The following is a 22,701-nucleotide window of genomic DNA, read 5'->3' as shown; positions in this document are numbered from 1 at the left end:
TCCCCAAAGATGTCCACGTCCTAATCCCCATGTGATAGACAGAATAATGTCCCCAAAGATGTCCACGTCCTAATCCCCATGTGATAGACAGAATAATGTCCCCAAAGATGTCCACGTCCTAATCCCCATGTGATAGACAGAATAATGTCCCCAAAGATGTCCACGTCCTAATCCCCATGTGATAGACAGAATAATGGCCCCAAAGATGTCCACGTCCTAATCCCCATGTGATAGACAGAATAACAGCCCCAAAGATGTCCACGTCCTAATCCCCATGTGGGAGACAGAATAATGTCCCCAAAGATGTCCACGTCCTAATCCCCATGTGATAGACAGAATAATGTCCCCAAAGATGTCCACGTCCTAATCCCCATGTGGGAGACAGAATAACAGCCCCAAAGATGTCCACGTCCTAATCCCCATGTGATAGACAGAATAATGTCCCCAAAGATGTCCACGTCCTAATCCCCATGTGGGAGACAGAATAACAGCCCCAAAGATGTCCACGTCCTAATCCCCATGTGGGAGACAGAATAATGTCCCCAAAGATGTCCACGTCCTAATCCCCATGTGGGAGACAGAATAATGGCCCCAAAGATGTCCACGTCCTAATCCCCATGTGGGAGACAGAATAATGGCCCCAAAGATGTCCACGTCCTAATCCCCATGTGATAGACAGGATAATGTCCCCAAAGATGTCCACGTCCTGATCCCCATGTGATAGACAGAATAATGTCCCCAAAGATGTCCACGTCCTAATCCCCATGTGATAGACAGAATAATGTCCCCAAAGATGTCCACGTCCTAATCCCCATGTGATAGACAGAATAATGGCCCCAAAGATGTCCACGTCCTAATCCCCATGTGATAGACAGAATAATGTCCCCAAAGATGTCCACGTCCTGATCCCCATGTGGGAGACAGAATAATGTCCCCAAAGATGTCCACGTCCTAATCCCCATGTGATAGACAGGATAATGTCCCCAAAGATGTCCACGTCCTAATCCCCATGTGATAGACAGAATAATGTCCCCAAAGATGTCCACGTCCTAATCCCCATGTGATAGACAGAATAATGGCCCCAAAGATGTCCACGTCCTAATCCCCATGTGGGAGACAGAATAATGTCCCCAAAGATGTCCACGTCCTAATCCCCATGAGGTAGACAGGATAATGGCCCCAAAGATGTCCACGTCCTAATCCCATGTGGGAGACAGAATAATATGGCCCCAAACTTGTCCACATTCTTATCCCCCATGTGATAGACAGGAAGAATGCTGTTGTCTTGGGCACTAAGTCTGTGCCATCTCTTATGAGGCTTATAGAGAGGGTTGACGTTGACCAGTGATTCTCAAAGTGGGGTCCCTGCAATAGTTAGAAATGCAAATTTGGGGGCTCCACCTACATCTGCTGAGCCGGAATCTCCTGCAAGCCATATTTGAAGAAGCTCCCCCAGAGGTAGGTTCCAGTGCCCCTGTGTTGACCAGCTGGACTGATTCCACAGCCAGAGACGGCAAAGGCAACAGACGTTTATGGCCAAGTTCTCTCAGTGGTTTTTAACACGTATTTCTAGGCTGGGCACGGTGGCTCATGCCTGTCATCCCAGCACGTTGAGAGGTTGAGGCCGGTGGATCATGAGGTCAGGAGTTCAAGACCAGCCTGACCAACACGCTGAAACCCTTTCTCTAGTAAAAACACATCCAAAAATTAGCTCAGCATGGTGGTACGTGCCCGTAATCCCAGCTACTCGGGAGGCTGAGGCAGGAGAATCACTTGAATCCAGGAGGTGGAGGTTGCAGTGAGCCGAGATCACGCCATTGCACTCCAGCCTGGGTGACAGAGCAAGACTCTGTCTCAAAAACAAAACAAAACAAACAAAAAAAGGCCGGGCACAGTGGCTCAAGCCTGTAATCCCACCACTTTGGGAGGCCAAGGCGGGCAGATCACCTGAGGTCGGGAGTTCGAGACCAGCCTGATCAACATGGAGAAACCCCATCTCTACTAAAAATAAAAATTAGCCGGGCGTGGTGGGAGGCTGAGGCGGGAGAATTGCTCGAACCCAGGAGGCGAAGGCTGCAGTGAGCCAAGATTGCGCCATTGCACTCTAGCCTGGGCAACAAGAGCAAAACTCTGTCTCAAAAAACAAACACACAAACAAAAAAATTTTCCGCCTGGCACCGTGGCTCACGCCTGTCATCCCAGCACTTTGGGAGACTGAGACGGGCAGATCATGAGGTCAGGAGTTCGAGACCAGCCCGACCAACATGGTGAAACCCTGTCTCTACTAAAAATACAAAAAAAAATTAGCCGGGTGTGGTGGCGGGCGCCTGTAGTCCCAGCTACTCAGGAGGCTGAGGCAGGAGAATGGCTTGAACCCGGGAGACGGAGGTTGCAGTGAGCCGAGATCGCGCCACTGCACTCCGACCGGGGCAACAAGAGTGAGACTCCACCTCAAAAAAAAAAAAAAGACATTTCTGAAGTCTCTAAACCTCGTTCCTGTGTGAGGGCAAGAGACCAAGTTGAAAAAACCTGCTCCTTTGCCCGGCCCGTGACTGGGTTTCATGCTGCCCCTGTGGGAAGCAGCCCTCGCGGCCGTGAAGATCACCTTGAGAGAACCCAGCCGCAGGCTGCAGGACCGAGACGGCCCCACCTGCCACCGTCCCCGCGGGGAGGACCTTCCTCCCTCCCTCCCTCAGGCTCCTGCCTCCGGAGGACACGGGGCCGTGGCTGCCGACGCTGTCTGCACCTCACACCCCGTCGGTGGCTTTTTTACAAAAATTGTGGTGAAATTCACGTACAAAAAAGTTACCTTTTTTTTTTTTTCCCAAGATGGAGTCTCGCTCTGTTGCCCAGGCTGGAGTGCTGTGGCGCGATTTCGGCTCACGGCAGCCTCCGCCCCCGGGTTCAAGCAATTCTCCTGCCTCAGCCTCCCGAGGAGCTGGGATTACAGGTGCACACAACCACGCCCAGCTAAATCTTTTTGTATTTTTACTAGAGATGGGGTTTCACCAGACTGGTCGCAAACTCCTGATCTCAATTAATCCACCTGCCTCGGCCTCCCAAAGTGGTGGGATTACAGGCGTGAGCCACTGCACCGAAATTCACGATTTTAAATTGCACAACTCGGCTGGGAATGGTGGTTCAAGCAGATCGCTTGACCCCAGAAGTTTGATTTTGTCTTGTTTTGTTTTGAGACAGAGTCTCGCTCTGTTGCCCAGGCTGGAGTACACTGGCTCGATCTCGGCCCACTGCAACCTCCGCCTTCCTGGTTCAAGTGATTCCCCTGCCTCAGCCTCCTGAGTAGCTGGGATTATAGGCGCGCATCACCATGCCTGGCTAATTTTTCTCTTTTTTGTTTTGTTTTGAGATGGAGTCTTGCTCCTGTCGCCCAGGCTGGAGTGCAGTGGCGCGACCATGGATCACAGCAACCTCCGCCTCCTGGATTCAAGCATTTCTCCTGCCTCAGCCTCCCAAGTAGATGGGATTACAGGTGCCTATTTTTTTTTTTTTTTTGAGACAGAGTTCCACTCTGTCGCCCAGGCTGGAGTTCAGTGGCGTGATCTCGGCTCACTGCAAGCTCCGCCTCCCGAGTTCACACCATTCTCCTACCTCAGCCTCCGGAGTAGCTGGGATTACAGGCGCCCGCCACCACGCCCGGCTAATTTTTTGTATTTTTAGTAGAGACGGGGTTTCTCCATGTTAGCCGGGATGGTCTCGATCTCCTGACCTCATGATCCGCCCGCCTCGGCCTCCCGAAGTGCTGGGATTACAGGCGTGAGCCACCGCGCCCGGCCTGTGCCCGCTAATTTTTGTATTTTTGCTAGAGAAGAGGTTTCGCCATGTTGGCCAGGCTGGTCTCCAAACTCCTGACCTCAGGTGATCCACCCACCTTGGCCTCCCAAAGTGCTGTGATCACAGGTGTGAGCCACCGCACCTGGCTGACACCAGGAGTTTGAGACCAGCCTGGCCAACACAGTGAGACCCCTTCTCTAATCAAAGAATTAACTAAAAAAAATAAAGTGGATTCACGTTGTGCAACTCCGACCTCTCCCTAGTTCCAGAACATTCTCATCGTCCTAAAAGGAGAGACCCTGTTTCCATGAAGCAGTCAGTCCTCATTTCCCCTCCGCAGCCCCCGGCAACCACAAATCCTCTTTCTGTCTCTGGATTGGCATGTTCTGGGCATTTCCTGTAAATGGATTCACACACTACGTGTCCTTTTGTGTCTGGCTTCTCTCACTGAGCGTGATGTCTTAAGGTTTGTGCCCGCTGCATCCTTGTCAGAGCCTCGTTCTTTTTCATGGCTGTGTAATATTCCACCGCGTGGATGGACCACACCTTGTTGATCCCTCCCCCCGCCAATGTACATGGACTGCTTTCTCCCTGGGTGCTTCTTAAGTAGAGACAGGGTTTCATCACATTGGTCAGGCCGGTCTCGAACTCCCGACCTCAGGTGATCTGCCCGCCTCAGCCTCCCAAAGTGCTAGGATGACAGGCATGAACCACTGCGCCCGGCCGCTAAGTTTTATTTCTAGTAAAGTTGGGGTCTCACTATGTTGGCCAGGCTGGTCTCAAACTCCCGACCTCAGGTGATCCACCCGCCTCGGCCTCCCGAAGTGCTGGGATTACAGGTACAGGGATTACCACGCCCAGCTCATGGATTCCTTTTAAATTGTTTTCACGTAAAAGTGAAGGCAAGTCCATGTGGACCCGGCCTGCCGCAGGGCGTCACGGGAGGCTGTGTGGAATCTACCCCCACGAGGGGCGACCTGGTACCTGGGCGGCCGCAGCTCTTCATGGTCTCCAGGTATCGGATGAGGGCCTCGGTCTTCACCCTGTTTCCCCACCAGTAGGGGACTCCTGGCCACAGCTCGTGGTGCCGGCGCAAGGAGCTCTCGTCTTCATAGGAGACGATGACCTGTTGGCCCCGGGACCACAGCTGCCGCAGTGTCGGCACCTCCTGCAAAGGACCAGAGTTAAGGGGTGCAGGGGAGAGAGGAGAGCCGGGGGCACCTGGGAGAGCGGAGGGCTGGGAAGTCGGGACACCGGCCCAACACGAGTATAAACCAAAAATGAAATTCTGGCCGGGCGCAGTGGCTGACGCCTGTAATCCCAGCACTTTGGGAGGCCGAGGTGGGTGGATCACCTGAGGTCAGGAGTTTGAGACCAGCCCGGGCAACATGGTGAAACCCCATCTCTACTAAAAATACAAAAATTGGCCGGGTGCGGTGGTGCACGCCTGTCATCCCGGCTAGTCAGAAGGCTGAGGTAGGAGAATCGTTTGAACCTGGGAGGCAGAGGTTGCGGTGAGCCGAGGTTTCGCTATTGCACTCCAGCCTGGGAGACAGACCGAGACTCCCTCTCAAATAAATAAATAAATTAAGTATGGCCAGGTGCAGGGGCTCATGCCTGTAATCCCAGCACTTTGGGAGGACACGGCGGGAGGATCACTCGAGGCCAGGAATTCGAGCCTGGGCTGCACAGGGTGACCCTGTCTCTATTTTTATATATTTATTTATTTTTATTTTTTATTTTTTGAGACGGATCTCGCTCTGTCTCCCAGGCTGGAATGCAGTGGCGCGATCTCGGCTCACTGCAACCTCCACCCCCCGGGTTCACACCATTCTCCTGCCTCAGCCTCCCGAGTAGCTGGGACTACAGGCGCCCGCCACCACGCCCGGCTAATTGTTTGTATTTTGTGTTAGTAGAGACGGGGTTTCACCGTGTTAGCCAGGATGGTCTCGATGTCCTGACCTCATGATCCGCCCGCCTCGGCCTCCCAAAGTCCTGGGATGACAGGTGTGAGCCACTGCGTCCGGCACACCCACCGCCACACCCAGATAATTTTGGTATTTTTAGTAGAGACGGGGTTTCACCATGTTGGCCAGGATAGTCTCAATCTCTTGACCTCGTGATCCGCCCGCCTCGGCCTCCCAAAGTCCTGGGATGACAAGCGTGAGCCACCACACCCAGCCTAATTGTTGTATTTTTAGTAGACACCAGGTTTCACCATGTTGGCCAGGATAGTCTCGATCTCTTGACCTCGTGATCCACCCGCCTCGGCCTCCCAAAGTGCTGGGATGACAGGCGTGAGCCACCGCGCCCGGCTGACGCTGCACACATTTCTAAACCCGTCAAGGGAAGCAGATCTCACCAGGAGCCACCCCACCGGGTCAGCCAGGGCCCCCCACACTGCGGGAGAGCAGGCAGCCCCCGTTCGACGGCTTCACCTGCTACAGGAATCATGGCAGCACCCACACCCAGGGCACAGCAAATGGAGTCTGAGGCTGACGATGCCCCTGCCCCGGGAGAGACGTGCGGATATCCTTCCCCTCCTCACCCCACGAGGACACAGCATGTCCCCGAAGATGTTCTTGATACAGGCGACCAGGTACTCGTGCAGGTCCTCGCTCAGCCCCTCGAAGTTTCTGCAGGCCAGGATGACCACCTCGCGTGGATGCCGCTCCAGCCACTCCGAGATTTCCGTGAGTGTGTCCTGGGGAGGGGGGTGCTGGGCTGAGTCCTGCACGACTCCAACACCACAGGGAAGGCGGGGTGTGGCGGCTCACGCCTGTCATCCCAGCAATTTGGGAGGCCGAGGCGGGTGGATCACCTGAGGTTAGGAGTTTGAGACCAGCCTAGCCAACATGGTGAAACCCCGTATCTACTAAAAATACAAAAATTAGCTGGGCGTGGTGTCCGGCGTCTGTAATCCCAGCTACTTGGAAGGCTGAGGCAGGAGAATTGCCTGAACCCAGGAGGCAGAGGTTGCAGTGAGCTGAGATTGCACCACTGCACTCCAGCCTGGGCGACACAGCAAGACTCCATCTCCAAAAAAAAAAAGCAAAAAAAAAAGAAATCTCCGTAACGGATTGGCGGGGTCAGTGTCTCCTGTCTGGTGTATAGGTGACGTCACCCTTCCATTAAAGACCGGGCGTTTCCTGTCCACATCTGCATGTGGCTGTTTCATCCCCACGGGAGCTTGGCCACCTCCCGCCGTCCCCCTTGCTTCCCACCTCAGCCCGGCCGCACCTGCACCAGCGCCCGGCCGCCTCCCGCTGTCCCCCTTGCTTCCCACCTCAGCCCGGCCGCACCTGCACCAGTGCCCGGCCGCCTCCCGCTGTCCCCCTTGCTTCCCACCTCAGCCCGGCCGCACCTGCACCAGTGCCCGGCCGCCTCCCACTCTCCCCATTGCGTCCCACCTCAGCCCGGCCGCACCTCCACCAGCGCCGTTGTGTACACCATATGGACAAAGTGCAGGTTCTTCTCCGAGCCCTCCAGCATGTGGGCTATCCGCAGGTCCAGGTACCGCACCCCGGCATCCAGCTGCTCTGTGACGTCCAGTGCCTGTGGACAGAGGCTGCTGTCATGTCTGCCTGGCTGAGCGCCGCGTCTGGGGGGCTCAGGAATGGGCTGTGGGGTTGGCCCACCCGCATGTCCTGCTGCCCACTGGGACGTGGATGTCGTAACAACAGCTGTTTGTATGTGCTGGGAGCGCTGCAGCCACGGGGACCTGCATTTGGAAAACCTCATCTCCGGGGACCTGGCCTTTTTTTTTTTTTTTTGAGACGGAGTCTCGCTCTGTCACCCAGGCTGGAGTGCAGTGGTGCAATCTGGGCTCACTGCAAGCTCCGCCTCCCGGGTTCATGCCGTTCTCCTGCCTCAGCCTCCCCAGTAGCTGGGACTGCAGGCGCCCGCCACCGCGCCCAGCTAATTTTGTTTTGTATTTTTAGTAGAGATGTGGTTTCAACATGTTAGCCAGGACGGTCTCGATCTCCTGACCTCGTGATCCACCCACCTTGGCCTCCCAAAGTGCTGGGATTACAGGCGTGAGCCACCGCGCCCGGCCTCTACTAAAAATTTTAAAAATCAGCCTGGGTGTGGTGGTGTACACCTGTAGTCCCAGCTGCCCGGGAGGCTGAGGAAGGAGGATCCTTTGATCCTGGGAGGCCCAGGCTGCAGGAAGCTGAGATCGCACCACCGCACTCCAGTCTGGGTGAGAGAGCGAGACTCCATCTCTAAAGGAATGAATGAATGTGATTATTAGGGAGAAAGGGGCCTGTCTCCCTGTTTCCCAGGGACTAGCAGATGCCTGACTGCAAACTGCAGACCCGCCTCAGGTCCTAAAGACACGAGAAATGAGTCCTTGTCTGTCTTGAGTGCAGGCATGAAAGGGGTTGTCTCGGCCGGGCGCGGTGGCTGACGCCTGTAATCCCAGCACTTTGGGAGGCTGAGGCGGGTGGATCACGAGGTCAGGAGTTCGAGACCATCCTGGCTAACACAGTGAAACCCTGACTCTACTCAAAATACCAAAAATTAGCCGGGCGTGGTCGCGGGAGCCTGTAGTCCCAGCTACTCAGGAGGCTGAGACAGGAGAATGGCGTGAACCCGGGAGGCGGAGCTTGCAGTGAGCCGAGATGGCACCAACTGCACTCCAGCCTGGGCGGCAGTGAGACTCCGTCTCAAAAAAAAAAAAAAGAAAAAGAAAGAAAAAGAAAGGTGTTGTCTCTGCTGGGATGCAACAGGGCGAGACCCTCTCCCTCTGCAGCTCTCAGTGGAGGCCTGCGATGCTCACGGCATTAGCTTTACGCCATTTAATAAAATGCTGGGCCGGGCGCGGTGGCTCACGCCTGTAATCCCAGCACTTTCGGAGGCTGGGGCGGGCAGATCATGAGGTCAGGAGATCAAGACCATCCTGACTAACACGGTAAAACCCCATCTCTACTAAAAATACAAAAAATTAGCCAGGTGTGGTGACAGGTGCCTGTAGACCCAGGTACTTAGGAGGATGAGGCAGGAGAATCGCTTGAACCCAGGCAGCGGAGGTTGCAGTGAGCCGAGATCACGCCACTGCACTCCAGCCCGGGTAAGAAGAGTGAGACCCTGTCTCAAAAAATAAATAAATAAAAACACTGTTCCCCTCTCTTCCACCTCTGGGGAGGGGTTCTGGGTGGGCAGCAGGTTTTGTTTTAATCCTGTCTCCGCAGCTGGGATAGGAACCTGCCTCCTGAGCCCACAGGGCACCACTCAAACCCTACCTGGGTGAGGGGCCATTTCAGCACCACGGGGCCGTGGGCCCCACATAGCTGACAGGCCAGGTCAGCAGCACGGGGCACAGACCGTACCTGGGTGACGGACCATTTCAGCACGACAGGGCGCGTGATGCAGGGCAAGGCCTTGTTCAGCAGCTGCAGCAGCCGGGACTCCTCGTGCGAAATGGGGGACTTCTTGTTCAGGCAGTACGTCATCGTGTCGTGGCTCCCTGAGAGCAAAGCACACACGCGGACATGTCACCACGAGTCCGTCCCCGCCACCTGCTGTGAGTCGCTCCACAGCCCGCCTACAGCACAGGCTGCTGCCCGCCCACAGCACAGGCACAGGTATGGCGGGAGGGGTGCACGCTGACCCCCAAAACTCACGTCCACTGGAACCTGGGAACACGACCCGTGTTGAAACAGGGTCTCTGCAGATATCATTAGGTTGAAATGAGATCATCCTGGAGTAGGGCGGGCCCCCAAATCCAGTGACAGGTGTCCGTCTAAGACACAAGAGGAGGAGACAGACACAGAGGAGGAGGCCTCGTGGAGACGGAGGCAGAGACTGGAGTGATGCGGCCACAAGCCCAGGGATGCCTGGAGCCCCCAGGAGCTGGGAGAGGCAGGAAGGATCCCCCACTCTAGAGCCTCTAGAAGGAACTGAATACAATTTCAATGACTTGAGTGGTGATCCCCAAAAGAGCTGTTCAAGTCCTAACCCCCTGCCCAGAACCTGTGAATGGGATCCTGTTTGGAAATAGGGTCTTTACACATGCTCTCAAAATGCTCAAGATGAAGTCATCTTGGCTTTGTGCTGGGTCCTAAATGCAATGACAGGTGTCCTTAGGAGACACAGACCCAGAGGAGGAGGCCACGTGGAGATGGAGGCAGAGACTGGAGTGATGCGGCCACAAGCCCAGGGATGCCTGGAGCCCCCAGGAGCTGGGAGAGGCAGGAAGGACCCTCCCCTAGAGCCTCAGGAGGACGTGTGGTCCTGCCCATATCTTGACTTCAGATTTCTGTATCTAGAACTGGGAGAGAGTAAATTTCTGTTCTTTGCCGCCTCCTGACGTGTGCTCACTTGTTATGGTAACCGCAAGAAACACAGACCTTTGTAGAGTTTGACTGATGGCTGACGTTTGCATTTCCTGCCTATGACACGTAGTTGTTATTTCTTAAATATAGATATAAATATATCTATATTTAAGATATATATATTTAAGATATATATGACATATATCTATATATAAACATATATAGTATCTATATCTATAAACAAAGATATATAGTATCTATATCCATAAACATATATAGTATCTATATCTATATATAAACATATATAGTATCTATATCTATATATAAACATATATAGTATCTATATCTATATATAAACATATATAGTATCTATATCTATATATAAACATATATAGTATCTATATCTATATATAAACATATATAGTATCTATATCTATATATAAACATATATAGTATATATTCTATATATAAACATATATAGTGTATATATATCTATATATAAACATATATTAGTATATATTTACATAAATACATATTTTTGCATAAATATGTATTTATATAAATATATAAAATATATATCCACATATTATGTTTATAAATATAATATATAAATGTACTTATGTATCATATATTTATATAAATATATGATATATATTTTATATTTTACATTTACTTATTTATATATTATATATAAATATAAATATGTATGTTTATATATAAATATGTACACTTACATATAAATGTGTGTGTGTATATACATATTTGCAGAGATGGGGCCTCACTATGTTGCCCAGGCTGCTCTCAAACTCCTAAACTCAAGTGATCCTCCTGCCTTGGCTTCCCAAAGTGCTGGGATTACAGGCGTGAGCCACCACGCCCGGCCTTCCCCCTTTAAATCCCCTGAGGAACGTGAAGCCCCTTTACATCCTCTGAGGAACGTGGACCCCCTTTAAATCCCCAGACCCCGAGAGGCATTGGAACGAAGCCACAGTCACCTGCTCCCCCGATCTTGAGCTAAGGTGTTAAGGAAGGAGACCAGTACTTCTCCTGCTGCCCCCTACCCCCACCTTGCCTAGTTTATAAGACAGGAGAAAGCAAAAGGTTGGAAAGAAACAGAAGTAAGATAAATAGCCAGACAACCTTGGCACCACCACCCAGCCCTGGGAGTTAAAATAATATCAATCCATAACCTAAACCACTTCTGTTATCTGTAAATGCCAGACGTTGTATGAAAAAGCGTTACAAAACTTTCTGTTCTGTTAGCTGACACATGTAGCCCCCAGTCACGTTCCCCACACTTGCTTGATTTATCACGACCCCTTCACGTGGACCCCTCAGAGTTGTAAGCCTTTAAAAAGGCCAAGAATTTCTTTTTTAAGGAGCTCGGCTCTTAAGATGTGAGTCTGCCGAAGCTCCCGGCCAAAGAAACCTCTTCTTTCTTTAATCCGGTGTCTGAGTTTTGTCTGCGGCTGGTCCTGCTACAGTATCACCCCTGGAAGCTACTTACTAGGTCAGCTCTAGACTGACAGATGCCCCGCATCTCTACAAATTAACCTAAGATGTCGGGTGCAATAGCTCATGTCTGCAATGCCAGCACTTTGGGAGGCCGAGGCAGGTGGATTGCCTGAGGTCGGGAGTTCGAGACCAGCTTGACCAACATGGTGAAACCCCATCTCTGCTAAAAATACAAAAATCAGCCAGGCATAGTGGAGCGTGCCTGTAATCCCAGCTACTCGGGAGGCTGAGGCAGGAGAATCGCTTGAACCCAGGAGGCAGAGGTTGCGATGAGCTGAGGTGGAGCCACTGCACTCGAGCCTGGGCGATAAGAGCAAAACTCCGTCTCAAAAAAAAAAAATTAACCTCAGGATGTCACACTGGGGCACCATAACTCATTCCCTACATTGCAAGGAAGAACGCGATCAGTGCTCGATGCCACTTCAGTAACCCACATGAATTCCTGAAAAACAGCTTTCATCATCACCCCCTCTCCTGATGTGCACTTTCTTTAGAAGCTCCCGTCTCGACGTTGTTCTCCACAGCCACTTCCTAAGGCGAGTTGGAGGGTTTCCTGGGCTGCAGTCCTCAAATGTGGCTCAAGGAAACCCCCTACTTATATTAATTTTGTCTAAGTTTATTTCCTTAGGTTGACAATACGTATCTGTGTGCATGTGTATGTGTGTCCGTATGCCTATATGTGAGTGTGCATGTGTGTGCCTGTGTTTAAACATGTACCTGTGTTCCTGTGTGCATGGACGTGTGTCTACGTGTGTGCATGTGTGTACACGCGTGTGCATGTGCATGTGTGCCTGTGTACACGTGTGCATATGTGCATTCATGTATGTCTATGTGAATAGGTGCAAATGTGTACATGTGTATGTCTGTGTGCATGCATGTACGTGTGTACACGTGTATACATGCATTGCATAGACGTGTCTCTGCGTGCATAGGTGCAAATGTTTATGTGTGCACGTGTGTCTGTGCATGTACATGTCTACACCTGTGTATATCTGCAGGTGTATATATGTGTGCATAGGTGCAAATATATATATACATGTGTGCATGTGTGTACATGTGTACACGTGTGCATGTGCATGTGTACACACCCGCACATGTGCATGCATGTGTATGTGCATCCATGTGTGTATGAGCCTATGTGCATGTATACATGTGTGCATTAGTATGTGCCTACATCCATGTATACATGTGCCTGCATGTGTGTACACCTGTGTGTGTGCATGTATATGCATCCATGTGCATATGTGTGGGGATGTGCATGTGTGCATGCATGTATGTGTGTGCGCATGCATGTGTGTGTGTATGTATGTGTCTGTGTGTGCCTGCATGTGTGCCTATGTGCACCTATGTATGTGATATGGCTCGGCTGTGTCCCCACCCAAATCTCATCTTGAATTGTAGCTCCCATAATTCCCATCTGTCATGGGAGGGACCTGGTGGGAGGTCACCGAATCACGGGGCGGGTCTTTCCCATGCTGTTCTCGTGATCGTGAATAAGTCTCACGAGATCTGATGGTTGTACAAAGGGCAGTTCTCCAGCACACGCTCTGTTGGCTGCCACCATGTAACATGTGACTTTGCTCCGCATTCACCTTCTGCCGTGATTGTGAGGCCTCCCCAGCCAGGTGGAACTGAGTCCATTAAACCTCTTTTATAAATTACCCAGTCTCGGGTATGTCTTTGTTAGCAGCGTGAGAACAGACCAACACAGTATGCACATGCGTATGTGTGCAGATGTGCATGTGTGTGTGCAGATGTGCATGTGTGTGTGCAGATGTGCGTGTGCAGATGTGCATGTGTGCGTGTGTGCGTGTGTGCGTGTGTGCATGTATGCCTGTGTATGTGTGCACATGTGTGCATGCCTGTGTGTATGCATGTCTGTGCATGTCCATGACTATGTACATATGTGTATGCACACACGTGTGCACTGTGTGTATGTGTGTGTCCACATCAGTGTGCTTTCTAGGATTTCCCTACACCCAGGATTGCTCCTACAGCCAGCGTCCCCACTGGGGAATGCAGACGCCACAGCTCCCGCCCCACCCTGCCGTCACCTGGGATAGAGGCAACGGCCCCTGCCCCACCCCAACCTCACCTGGGATGGAGAGGTGGTGGAGGGGCACATCCCAGAGCCGGGGACACAGTGCCGACATCCAGTCCTCGTTGGCATTTCTGCAGTGCAGCCTCGAGAAGCTGTTGGAAGCGCTCACCTGCCCACCCATCAGAGGTGAGCCCTGGGCAACCTGAGGAAGGAGAAGAGGAAAAGAGGTTTTTTACGGTGACTTCAGGTCAGGAGTTCGAGACCAGCCTGGCCAACTTGACAAAACCCCATCTCTACTAAAAATACAAAAATTAGCTGGGCGTGGTGGTGGGCACCTGTGGCACCTGTCATCCCAGCTACTCGGGAGGCTGAGGCAGGAGAATCGCTTGAACCCGGGAGGTGGAGGTTACAGTGAGCGGAGATCCCGCCACTGCACTCCAGGCTGGGCAACAAGAGTGAAACTCCATATCCAAAAAAGAAAAAAAAAAAAGAGAGAGAGAGAGAGGAAAAGGGGTCCTTGGAAGCATTTTTTGCAGCTCCAAAAAATGTTTCTTGTCTAGCGTGAAAGCCCTGGCTCTTAGACCCGGCTTGGCAACCTTTAATATGCAAATGCGAGCCTTTAGCTGGTCCAGCCCACATGGCGATTCCCACCGTTGCCCTCTTGCCCTCGCCCCCACCCGTGCCTGACACCAAGGCCGCCCCCACCCGGGCCTGACACCAAGGCCGCCCCCACCCGGGCCTGGCAACACGGCCGCCCCCACCCGGGCCTGGCACCACGGCCGCCCCCACCCGGGCCTGACACCAAGGCCGCCCCCACCCGGGCCTGACACCACGGCCGCCCCCACTACCCTCAGGCGTGTGGAACATCATGGCGCCCTACATTTGCATATTACGGAACTGGGGTGGGCGGGCCAGGTTTTTCGCGGGCTACGTGAATGACAGGCCTGGTCAGACCAATCCCCTCAGCGCTATGCAAATGAGTCACGCCTCCTCCAGGCACCGTATAACACGGGCTGGTCTCCTGCCTGGGGTTTGGAGCCCCCGTCCCTCTGTCTCAGTCCAGGGGAGCCACTTCTTTCTGCCTTCTCGCCTTGGTTTTTTTTTTTTTGAGACGCAGTTTCGCTCTTGTTGCCCAGGCTGCAGTGAAATGGCGCGATCTCGGCTCACCGCAACCTCCGCGGTGCTGGGATTACAGGCGTGAGCCACTGCCCGGACCTCCCTTCTTTCCTATTAAACTCTCCGCTCCTTAAAACCACTCCACGTGTGTCCGTGTCGCCTACACACACACACACACACACACATACACACATAACAGAATATATACATATATACATATTATATACATAACATATATATAACATATATAATATATACATATAATATATATTATACATATAATATATACATATATAATATATATATAATATATATATAACATACATGTATAACATATATACATATATAATATAGACATATATAACACATACATAACATATATACATATATACATCACTATATATACATATATAAGTATATATATATAATATACTGTTGAAAATAAGGGAAGTGACCCTTTCCATAAGGACATTTTAGACAACTTGTAAATTCTTTCTCTGCCTCTGAAGTGTATATAACTTTTTTGGTTGGTCTTTTTTTTTTTTTTTTGACACAGTTTCCCTCTCGTTGCCCAGGCTGGACTGCAATGGCGCGATCGCGGCTCACTGCAACCTCCGCCTCCCAGGTTCAAGCAATTCTCCTGCCTCAGCCTCCAGAGTAGCTGGGATTACAGGCGCCCGCCACCACACCTGCTTAATTTTTGTATTTTTGGTAGAGACGGGGTTTCACTATCTTGGTCAGGCTAGTCTTGAACTCCTGACCTCAGGTGATCTGCCTGCCTCGGCCTCCCAAAGTGCTGGGATTACTGGCGTGAGCCACGGTGCCCAGCTGTATGTACGGTTTTTTTTTTGTTTTGTTTTGTTTTTTTTAAAGACAGGGTTTCACTCTTGTTACCCAGGCTGGAGTGCAATGATGCAATCTCGGCTCACTGCAACCTCCGCCTCCCAGGTTCAAGCAATTCTCCTGCCTCAGCCTCCAGAGTAGCTGGGATTACAGGCGTCCGCCACCACGCCCGGCAATGTATGTAAGATTTTTAATCATTTAGATTAAAACTGATTAGATTAAAATCATTAGATCTAATTGATTTAATCAAATCAATTAGAATTGTTGATCTTGAGCCCAGAAATCAGCCTGTTGACAGTTTCACATCTGAGGAATGTTTCCTGGTGGACCTGAGGCCTCCTCTTAGAAATGAGACCTGGAGGGGCCGGGCACGGTGGCTCACGCCTGTCATCCCATCACTTTGGGAGGCTGAGGTGGGTGGATCACCTGAGGTCAGGGGTTCGAGACCAGCCTGGCCAACATGGTGAAACCCCATTTCTACTAAAAGTACAAAAAGTAGCCGGCCGTGGTGGCGCACGCCTGTAATCCCAGCTACTCAGGAGGCTGAGGCTTGAACCCGGGAGGCGGGGGCTGTAGTGAGCCACAATCACACCATTGCACTCCAGCCTGGGTGACAAAGTGAGACTCTGTCTCAAGAAAAAAGAAATGGGACAGAGAGGAAGGGAAGAAGCCCCGGCCTCCTGGAGAAGAGACAAACTTCAGCTGCCTGCAAACTGCAAACCCACCTTGAGTCCCACACGCAGGGGGAGTTCGGAATTCGAATTGTTGGTCTCGAGCCCAGAATGAAAGGCCTGGTCTCCCTGGGCCGCAAGAAAGGACGAGATCCTCTCGGTCTGCAGCTCCTGGCGGCTGCCCGCGTTGGCTTCACAAGGTTCTGTAATAATCCTGCTGCCTTCTCTTCCACACTGAGGCCAGGCTTCCCAGGTGGCTGCAGATTTTGTTCTTATTTACATCTTCCCAAAAGCCTTCCTCCCAGACCCTAAGCCAACACCAGCTACATGAACTCAGATCTTCCCTGCTGCCCGGAAGGAGGGAGGGAGGGAGGGAGGGAGGGAGGGTCCCGGGAGCCTGCTGGGCCCAGGAGGAGGAGCCCATTCTTTATCAGCCCGGGGGATGTCAGCTCAGCCTCTTTCTCCAAGAGAAGCAACCACACCTGTACCGCGGCTCCGGGTCCCCAGGAGGGAGCTGGCCCCTTCTCTGCAGCCAGCTGGAAAAGGCCCAGGACGGCTTCCCCTCCCCCTGCACGCCCCCCGCTCCGCCTGCACGGCCCCCCCTCCCCCTGCACGGCCCCCCTCCGCCTGCACGGCCCCCCCTCCCCCTGCACGGCCTCCCCTCCCCCTGCACGGCCTCCCTTCCCCCTGCACGGCCCCCCTCCCCCTGCACGGCCTCCCCTCCCCCTGCACGGCCTCCCCTCCCCCTGCACGGCCTCCCCTCCCCCTGCACGGCCCCCCTTCCCCCTGCACGGCCTCCCCTCCCCCTGCACGGCCTCCGCTGCCCCCTGCACGTACCCCCCTCCGCCTGCACGGCCTCCCTTCCCCCTGCACGGCCTCCCTTCCCCCTGCACGGCCTCCCCTCCCCCTGCACGGCCTCCCCTCCCCCTGCACGGCCTCCCCTCCCCCTGCACGGCCTCCCCTCCCCCTGCACGTCTTCCCCTCCGCCTGCACGGCCTCCCTTCCCCCTGCACGGCCTCCCTTCCCCCTGCACGGCCCCCCTTCCCCCTGCACGGCCTCCCCTCCCCCTGCACGGCCTCCCTTCCCCCTGCACGGCCTCCGCTGCCCCCTGCACGTACCCCCCTCCGCCTGCACGGCCTCCCTTCCCCCTGCACGGCCTCCCTTCCCCCTGCACGGCCCCCCTTCCCCCTGCACGGCCTCCCCTCCCCCTGCACGGCCTCCGCTGCCCCCTGCACGTACCCCCCTCCGCCTGCACGGCCTCCCTTCCCCCTGCACGGCCTCCCCTCCTCCTGCACGGCCTCCCCTCCCCCTGCACGTCTTCCCCTCTGCCTGCACGGCCTCCCTTCCCCCTGCACGGCCTCCCTTCCCCCTGCACGGCCCCCCTTCCCCCTGCACGGCCTCCCCTCCCCCTGCACGGCCTCCCTTCCCCCTGCACGGCCTCCCCTCCTCCTGCACGGCCTCCCCTCTGCCTGCAGGGCTGTGCAGTGATCTGCCTGGAGCATCCCAGCAGGGCCGCTGTGAGCCTCCGGATGCCCAGGGTCCCGGGGCCGCGGGGTGGAGGGGAGGTTAAAATGCAGGTCTGGGCGGGGCCCGCTGGCTCACGCCTGTAATTCGAGCACTTCAACACTTTGGGAGGCCGAGGCGGGCGGATCACCTGAGGTCAGGAGTTCGAAACCGGCCTGGCCAACATGGCAAAACCCCATCACTGGTAAAAATACAAAAATCATTTAGCCGTGCTGGCGCGCGCCTGTAGTCCCAGCTACTGGGAGGCTGAGGCAGGAGAATCGCTTGAACCCGGGAGGCGGAGGTTGCAGTGAGCCGAGATCGCGCCATTGCACTCCAGCCTGGGAGACAGAGTGAGACTCCCGTTCAAAAACAAAAAACCTTCGTCTCCACATCCTCTTATCTTAATGCAGATATTCCTTTCTACTAATAACTCTTTTTTTCTTCTTTTTTTTTTTTTCAGAGACAGGGTCTCGCTCTGTTGCGCAGACTGGTGTGCAGTGTCATGATCTCAGCTTACTGCAGCCTCCGCCTCCTGGATTCAAGCTATTCGCCTGCCTCAGCCTCCAGCACAGCTGGGATTACAAGCACTTGCCACCATTCCCAGCTAATTTTTTGTATTTTTGGTAGCAACGGGGGTCTCACCATGTTGGCCAGGCTGGTCTCGAACTCCTGACTTCAGGTGATCCGCCCGCCTTGGCTTCCCAAAGTGCTGGGATGACAGGCGTGAGCCACCGTGCCCGGCCTAATAATAACTCTTTCAACCAATTGCCAGTCAGAAAATTTTAAAATCTACCTTATGACCTGGAAGCCCGCCTCACCACCAGTGGAGCAGTCCCACCTTCACCGATTGAACCTGTCAGGCCTCTGAGCCGAAGCTCAGCCATTATCACCCCTGTGACTTGCACATATACGTCCAGGTGGCCTGCAGGAGCCAAGAAGTCTGGAGCAGCCAAGGAAAAACCACAGAGAAGTAAAACAGCCAGTTCCTGCCTTAACTGGTTAACTAAAATTACAACATTTTACTATCGTGAGTTCTCCCTGCCCTACCTTAGCCGATCAATCGACTTTGTGCCGTTCGTCCTCTGGACAATGAGTCTTATGATCTGTGCACCACGCACCTTGCAATCCCTCCTCTGCTGACAATAGATAACCACCTTTTGCTGTAATTTTCCATTACCTACCCAACTCCTATTGAGCCACCCCTCCCCCATCTCCCTTCGCTGACTCTCTCTTCGGACTCAGCCCACTTGCACCCAAGTGAATGAACCGCTTTATCGCTCACACAAAGCCTGTTCGGGGGTCTCTTCGCACCGACGCGCTTGACAGAACCAAGGTTCGTCTTACACGTATGGATTCATGTCTGACGTTTCCTTAAAATGCATAATACCAAGATGTCCTCCGACCACCTAGGGCACAGGTCGTCAGGACCTCCTGAGGCTCGGTCACAGGCGCGTCCTCAACCTTAGCAAAACACACTTTTTTTTTTTTTTTTTTGAGACGGAGTCTTGCTCTGTCTCCCAGGCTGGAGTGCAGTGGTGCAATCTCGGCTCACTGCAACCTCCGCTTCCCAGGTTCAAGCAATTCTCCTATCTCAGCCTCCCAAGTAGCTGGGACTACAGGCGCCCACCACCACACCCAGGTAATTTCTGTATTTTTAGTAGAGACAGGGTTTCACCTTGTTGGTCAGGCTGGTCTTGAACTCCTGACGTCAGGTGATCTGCCCGCCTTGGCCTCCCAAAGTGCTGGGATGACAGGCGTGAGCCACCGTGCCCGGCCAGCAAAACACACTTTCTAAATGTCCTGAGACCTGTCTCAGATACTTTTTGGTTCAGAAGACTCGAGGAAATCAGTGTCTCCTAGGACAGGCTGGACCCAAAGCTGTACACTCACATCCTCTGTGTCATGACGGATTCCATCCATTCCGGCTACTGTCATACTCCCTCCCTCCCATCACAGTCCCTTCCCCCGTCACAGTCCCTCCCCTCCCGTCACCTTCATCATATCCCAGGTCCCCTGACCACTGAGGGGTGTCCCCTCCTGTCCCCACGTCCCCCGACCCCTCCCCTCACATCCCAAGTCCCCTGACCACTGAGGGGTGTCCACTCCTGTCCCCACACCTGTCCCCATGTCCTCCTGAGCCCTCCCTCACATCCCAGGTCCCCTGACCACTGAGGGGTGTCCGCTCCTATCCCCACACCTGTCCCCACATTCCCCCTGACCCCTCCCCTCACATCCCAGGTCCCCTGACCACTGAGGGGTGTCCCCTCCTATCCCCACACCTGTCCCCACGTTCCCCCTGACCCCTCCCCTCACATCCCAGGTCCCCTGACCACTGAGGGGTGTCCACTCCTGTCCCCACACCTGTCCCCATGTCCTCCTGAGCCCTCCCCTCACATCCCAGGTCCCCTGACCACTGAGGGGTGTCCACTCCTGTCCCCACGTGCCCTGACCCCTCCCCTCACATCCCAGGTCCCCTGACCACTGAGGGGTGTCCACTCCTGTCCCCACGTGCCCTGACCCCTCCCCTCACATCCCAGGTCCCCTGACCACTGAGGGGTGTCCACTCCTGTCCCCACACCTGTCCCCATGTCCTCCTGAGCCCTCCCCTCACATCCCAGGTCCCCTGACCACTGAGGGGTGTCCACTCCTGTCCCCACGTGCCCTGACCCCTCCCCTCACATCCCAGGTCCCCTGACCACTGAGGGGTGTCCACTCCTGTCCCCACACCTGTCCCCATGTCCTCCTGAGCCCTCCCCTCACATCCCAGGTCCCCTGACCACTGAGGGGTGTCCACTCCTGTCCCCACGTGCCCTGACCCCTCCCCTCACATCCCAGGTCCCCTGACCACTGAGGGGTGTCCCCTCCTGTCCCCACACCTGTCCCCACGTTCCCCAACCCCTCCCCTCACATCCCAGGTCCCCTGACCACTGAGGGGTGTCCCCTCCTATCCCCACATCTGTCCCCACGTTCCCCCTGACCCCTCCCCTCACATCCCAAGTCCCCTGACCACTGAGGGGCGCCCCCTCCTGTCCCCAGGTCCCCCGACGCCTTCCCCACACATGACAAAGTGGAGCAGGAAGGAGCCCCGGGGGCGGCCCCCACTCCCAGCCACCTCTGCCATCTCGTCCGGACGGCACAGCGGAGTGGGGTCTGGAGGCCGTCCCACGGAGCACTGACCCTTCCTGGGGGAGGTCCTCTCCACCCTGGCCTTCACGGTCGCGGCGGGACAGCGCAGATGACGGACGGGCCCAGACGCCCGGTGACCCGCCAGGCGGGGTGAGACACCTACACCTTCCCGCCCGCTGAGTCCTCGGGAGACTCACGTCCCAGAGGCGTGAGTGGCCGTGACGCGCACATTCAACGCACGGGGTGAATGGTTGCTGGGTGAATCAACGGAAGGACAGGGGTGCTCAGATCCCAGCATTCCCAGTGCCCCAACATCCCCACCGTCCCAGCTGTCCCGACCCGTCCCCACGCAGGCCCCGGCGGCAGGGTGAGGACGTCCAACCGGCCAAGCAAGTCGTGGCCCCCGGGCTCATTTCATAACCGTCCTGGGCTGTTTCCACACTGGCTCCGCGGCTCTGACCCGGCAGAGAATTCACGGTCTGCAAGGGGTGCAGGCCGCCTGTGGCTGCCAACGTCCAGGCCACAGATCCCAGGCGACCCTCCCCCTGAACCCCCTGCCCGTGCCCCCAGCTAAGGGTCCCAGGAGGAGGAGAAGGAGCCTCAATGACGGAAGCGCGGGTTCCTGATTCCCAGCCCACAACAGGCACAGACGGCACCCGCCACGTCCCCCGTAGGGGACTTGCCATCAGGAGAACGGGGTAGACACACTCACCTTCCAGCCGCTGGAATCCCAGAGCTCCTGGCAGCTCCCGCCGGGTCTCTGCGGGACACTCTTCCTAAAACACACCCAGTCCGCTGCGATTGGCTGTGGCGCGGACACTCCTGCCACCAGGAGGAGGGACAGCCCGCCCCCGCCACGGATCTGTCCCCACCGCAGGAGCGGGACCGGCTGGGCTGCAAACACCGCCCTGAACTCCCACGGGGACCCCACAGACCAGGACTGGGGACCGGAAGACCCCTCCCAGGGGACCCCACGGTGTGTCCCAACAAGGTGTCCCCGGGGTCCCCCGGTCAGGGGCTTAGAGACAGCAAGGACGTCCCAGAGGTGTGTGCCCACGGGTTCTCTGTGGTCAGAGGGGCCCTTGCAGGGGACATTGAGGTGTCTGACTGACGGGCCCCACTCGGGCCACTGGCCGCGGCTGCGGTGGGTCTCCCGGAGCCCCCAGGACGGGGTGAACAGGTGCTTTCATCTCGGCCCTGGGGTCAACGCATGGGGCCGGCAGTCCCAAGCCTGCAGGCTCTGAGCGCCTTGGCCAGCAAACCCACCGGGATCTTCCCCCTGCAGGTTCCGACCTCTCCCGCCCCGCGTGGCCCGGACCCTGGGCAGCCCGTGCCGCCTCCGTCGGTGGAAGTGGCTCCTCCCAGCGCAGCCCACGCCTGCGATCTCCCCCCCCGAGCCAACCTGGAGCTGACCAGGAGCCCAGGTCAGGGGTCTGTCCAGGGCCCCGTTCCTGCCTCCTCCTGGCTGCTTCCGGTCCACCCCGCAGGTGCTCCCCACGCACCCCGCTGTCTCCCACCCCGGGCTGGACTCCAGGACAGGGCCAGTGTGGGCTTCAGAGAGTGCACGGAACGTTTGGGGGCCGCAGTGGACGGCTCAAAGGGCTGCCTTGGGATCCCATGTTCCCGGGTGGAATTCTCCCGCATAGCCACGGCTGGGGCTTCTCTCCCTGCACCCCATTTCTGTCCCGGCTCCCTGTTTCCTCCCTCACCCCAGCTGTGGGGTACCTTGAGGGCGGCTGCTGTCCTGGCACAGGGACATCTGGTCGGCCTACAAGCCACAGGCCACCGGCCTCTCCGCCTCTTTCCATCCTAA

General features: G+C 55.1%; 2 protein-coding genes across 12 annotated transcripts in view; one reads left to right on the top strand and one right to left on the bottom strand.

Annotated features, from left to right (window-relative positions):
- Positions 1–21,639, bottom strand: part of PLCXD1 (phosphatidylinositol specific phospholipase C X domain containing 1) — a 27,001-nt gene extending 5,362 nt beyond the window's left edge. For 2 of the 11 annotated variants that reach the window (NR_028057.2, NM_001370370.1), the window contains exons 1-7: positions 21,601–21,639; positions 16,311–16,513; positions 13,681–13,828; positions 9,126–9,262; positions 7,219–7,347; positions 6,341–6,496; positions 4,777–4,960 (exon numbers count right to left, since the gene is read on the bottom strand). Coding sequence is in view for 9 of the 11 variants with exons in the window: in NM_001370370.1 (NP_001357299.1) it covers positions 4,777–4,960; positions 6,341–6,496; positions 7,219–7,347; positions 9,126–9,262; positions 13,681–13,807 (733 nt within the window). In the remaining 2 variants the exon portion in view is untranslated. Of the gene's footprint in view, positions 1–4,776; positions 4,961–6,340; positions 6,497–7,218; positions 7,348–9,125; positions 9,263–13,680; positions 13,829–13,961; positions 14,309–14,443; positions 14,518–16,310; positions 16,615–16,738; positions 16,837–21,227; positions 21,243–21,600 lie in introns of those variants that run through there. The other 9 variants (NR_163416.1, NM_018390.4, XM_047442741.1 and 6 more) reach the window with 8 other exon arrangements.
- On the top strand, positions 20,998–22,701 carry LOC124905300 (vegetative cell wall protein gp1-like). The gene is made up of 4 exons (XM_047442785.1): positions 20,998–21,038; positions 21,218–21,255; positions 21,563–21,933; positions 22,174–22,701. The coding sequence occupies exons 1-4, from the start codon at positions 20,998–21,000 to the stop codon at positions 22,699–22,701; spliced, it is 978 nt and encodes a 325-aa protein (XP_047298741.1).

Source organism: Homo sapiens, chromosome Y, assembly GCF_000001405.40.
Source record: "Homo sapiens chromosome Y, GRCh38.p14 Primary Assembly".
NCBI classification, from domain to species: Eukaryota; Metazoa; Chordata; class Mammalia; order Primates; family Hominidae; genus Homo; species Homo sapiens.
The sequence above is the reverse complement of the archived record's forward strand: the minus strand, read 5'-3'. Positions and strand labels throughout refer to the sequence as shown.

Bases quoted from the DNA above. Each gene is read 5' to 3' on its own strand.
- LOC124905300 (XM_047442785.1), top strand. From the start codon at position 20,998: ATGACGGACGGGCCCAGACGCCCGGTGACCCGCCAGGCGGG. The intron at 21,039-21,217 runs GTGAGACACCTA...CCACCGTCCCAG, and splicing joins CCGGTGACCCGCCAGGCGGG to CTGTCCCGACCCGTCCCCAC. The intron at 21,934-22,173 runs GTGTGTGCCCAC...TTCCCCCTGCAG, and splicing joins ACAGCAAGGACGTCCCAGAG to GTTCCGACCTCTCCCGCCCC.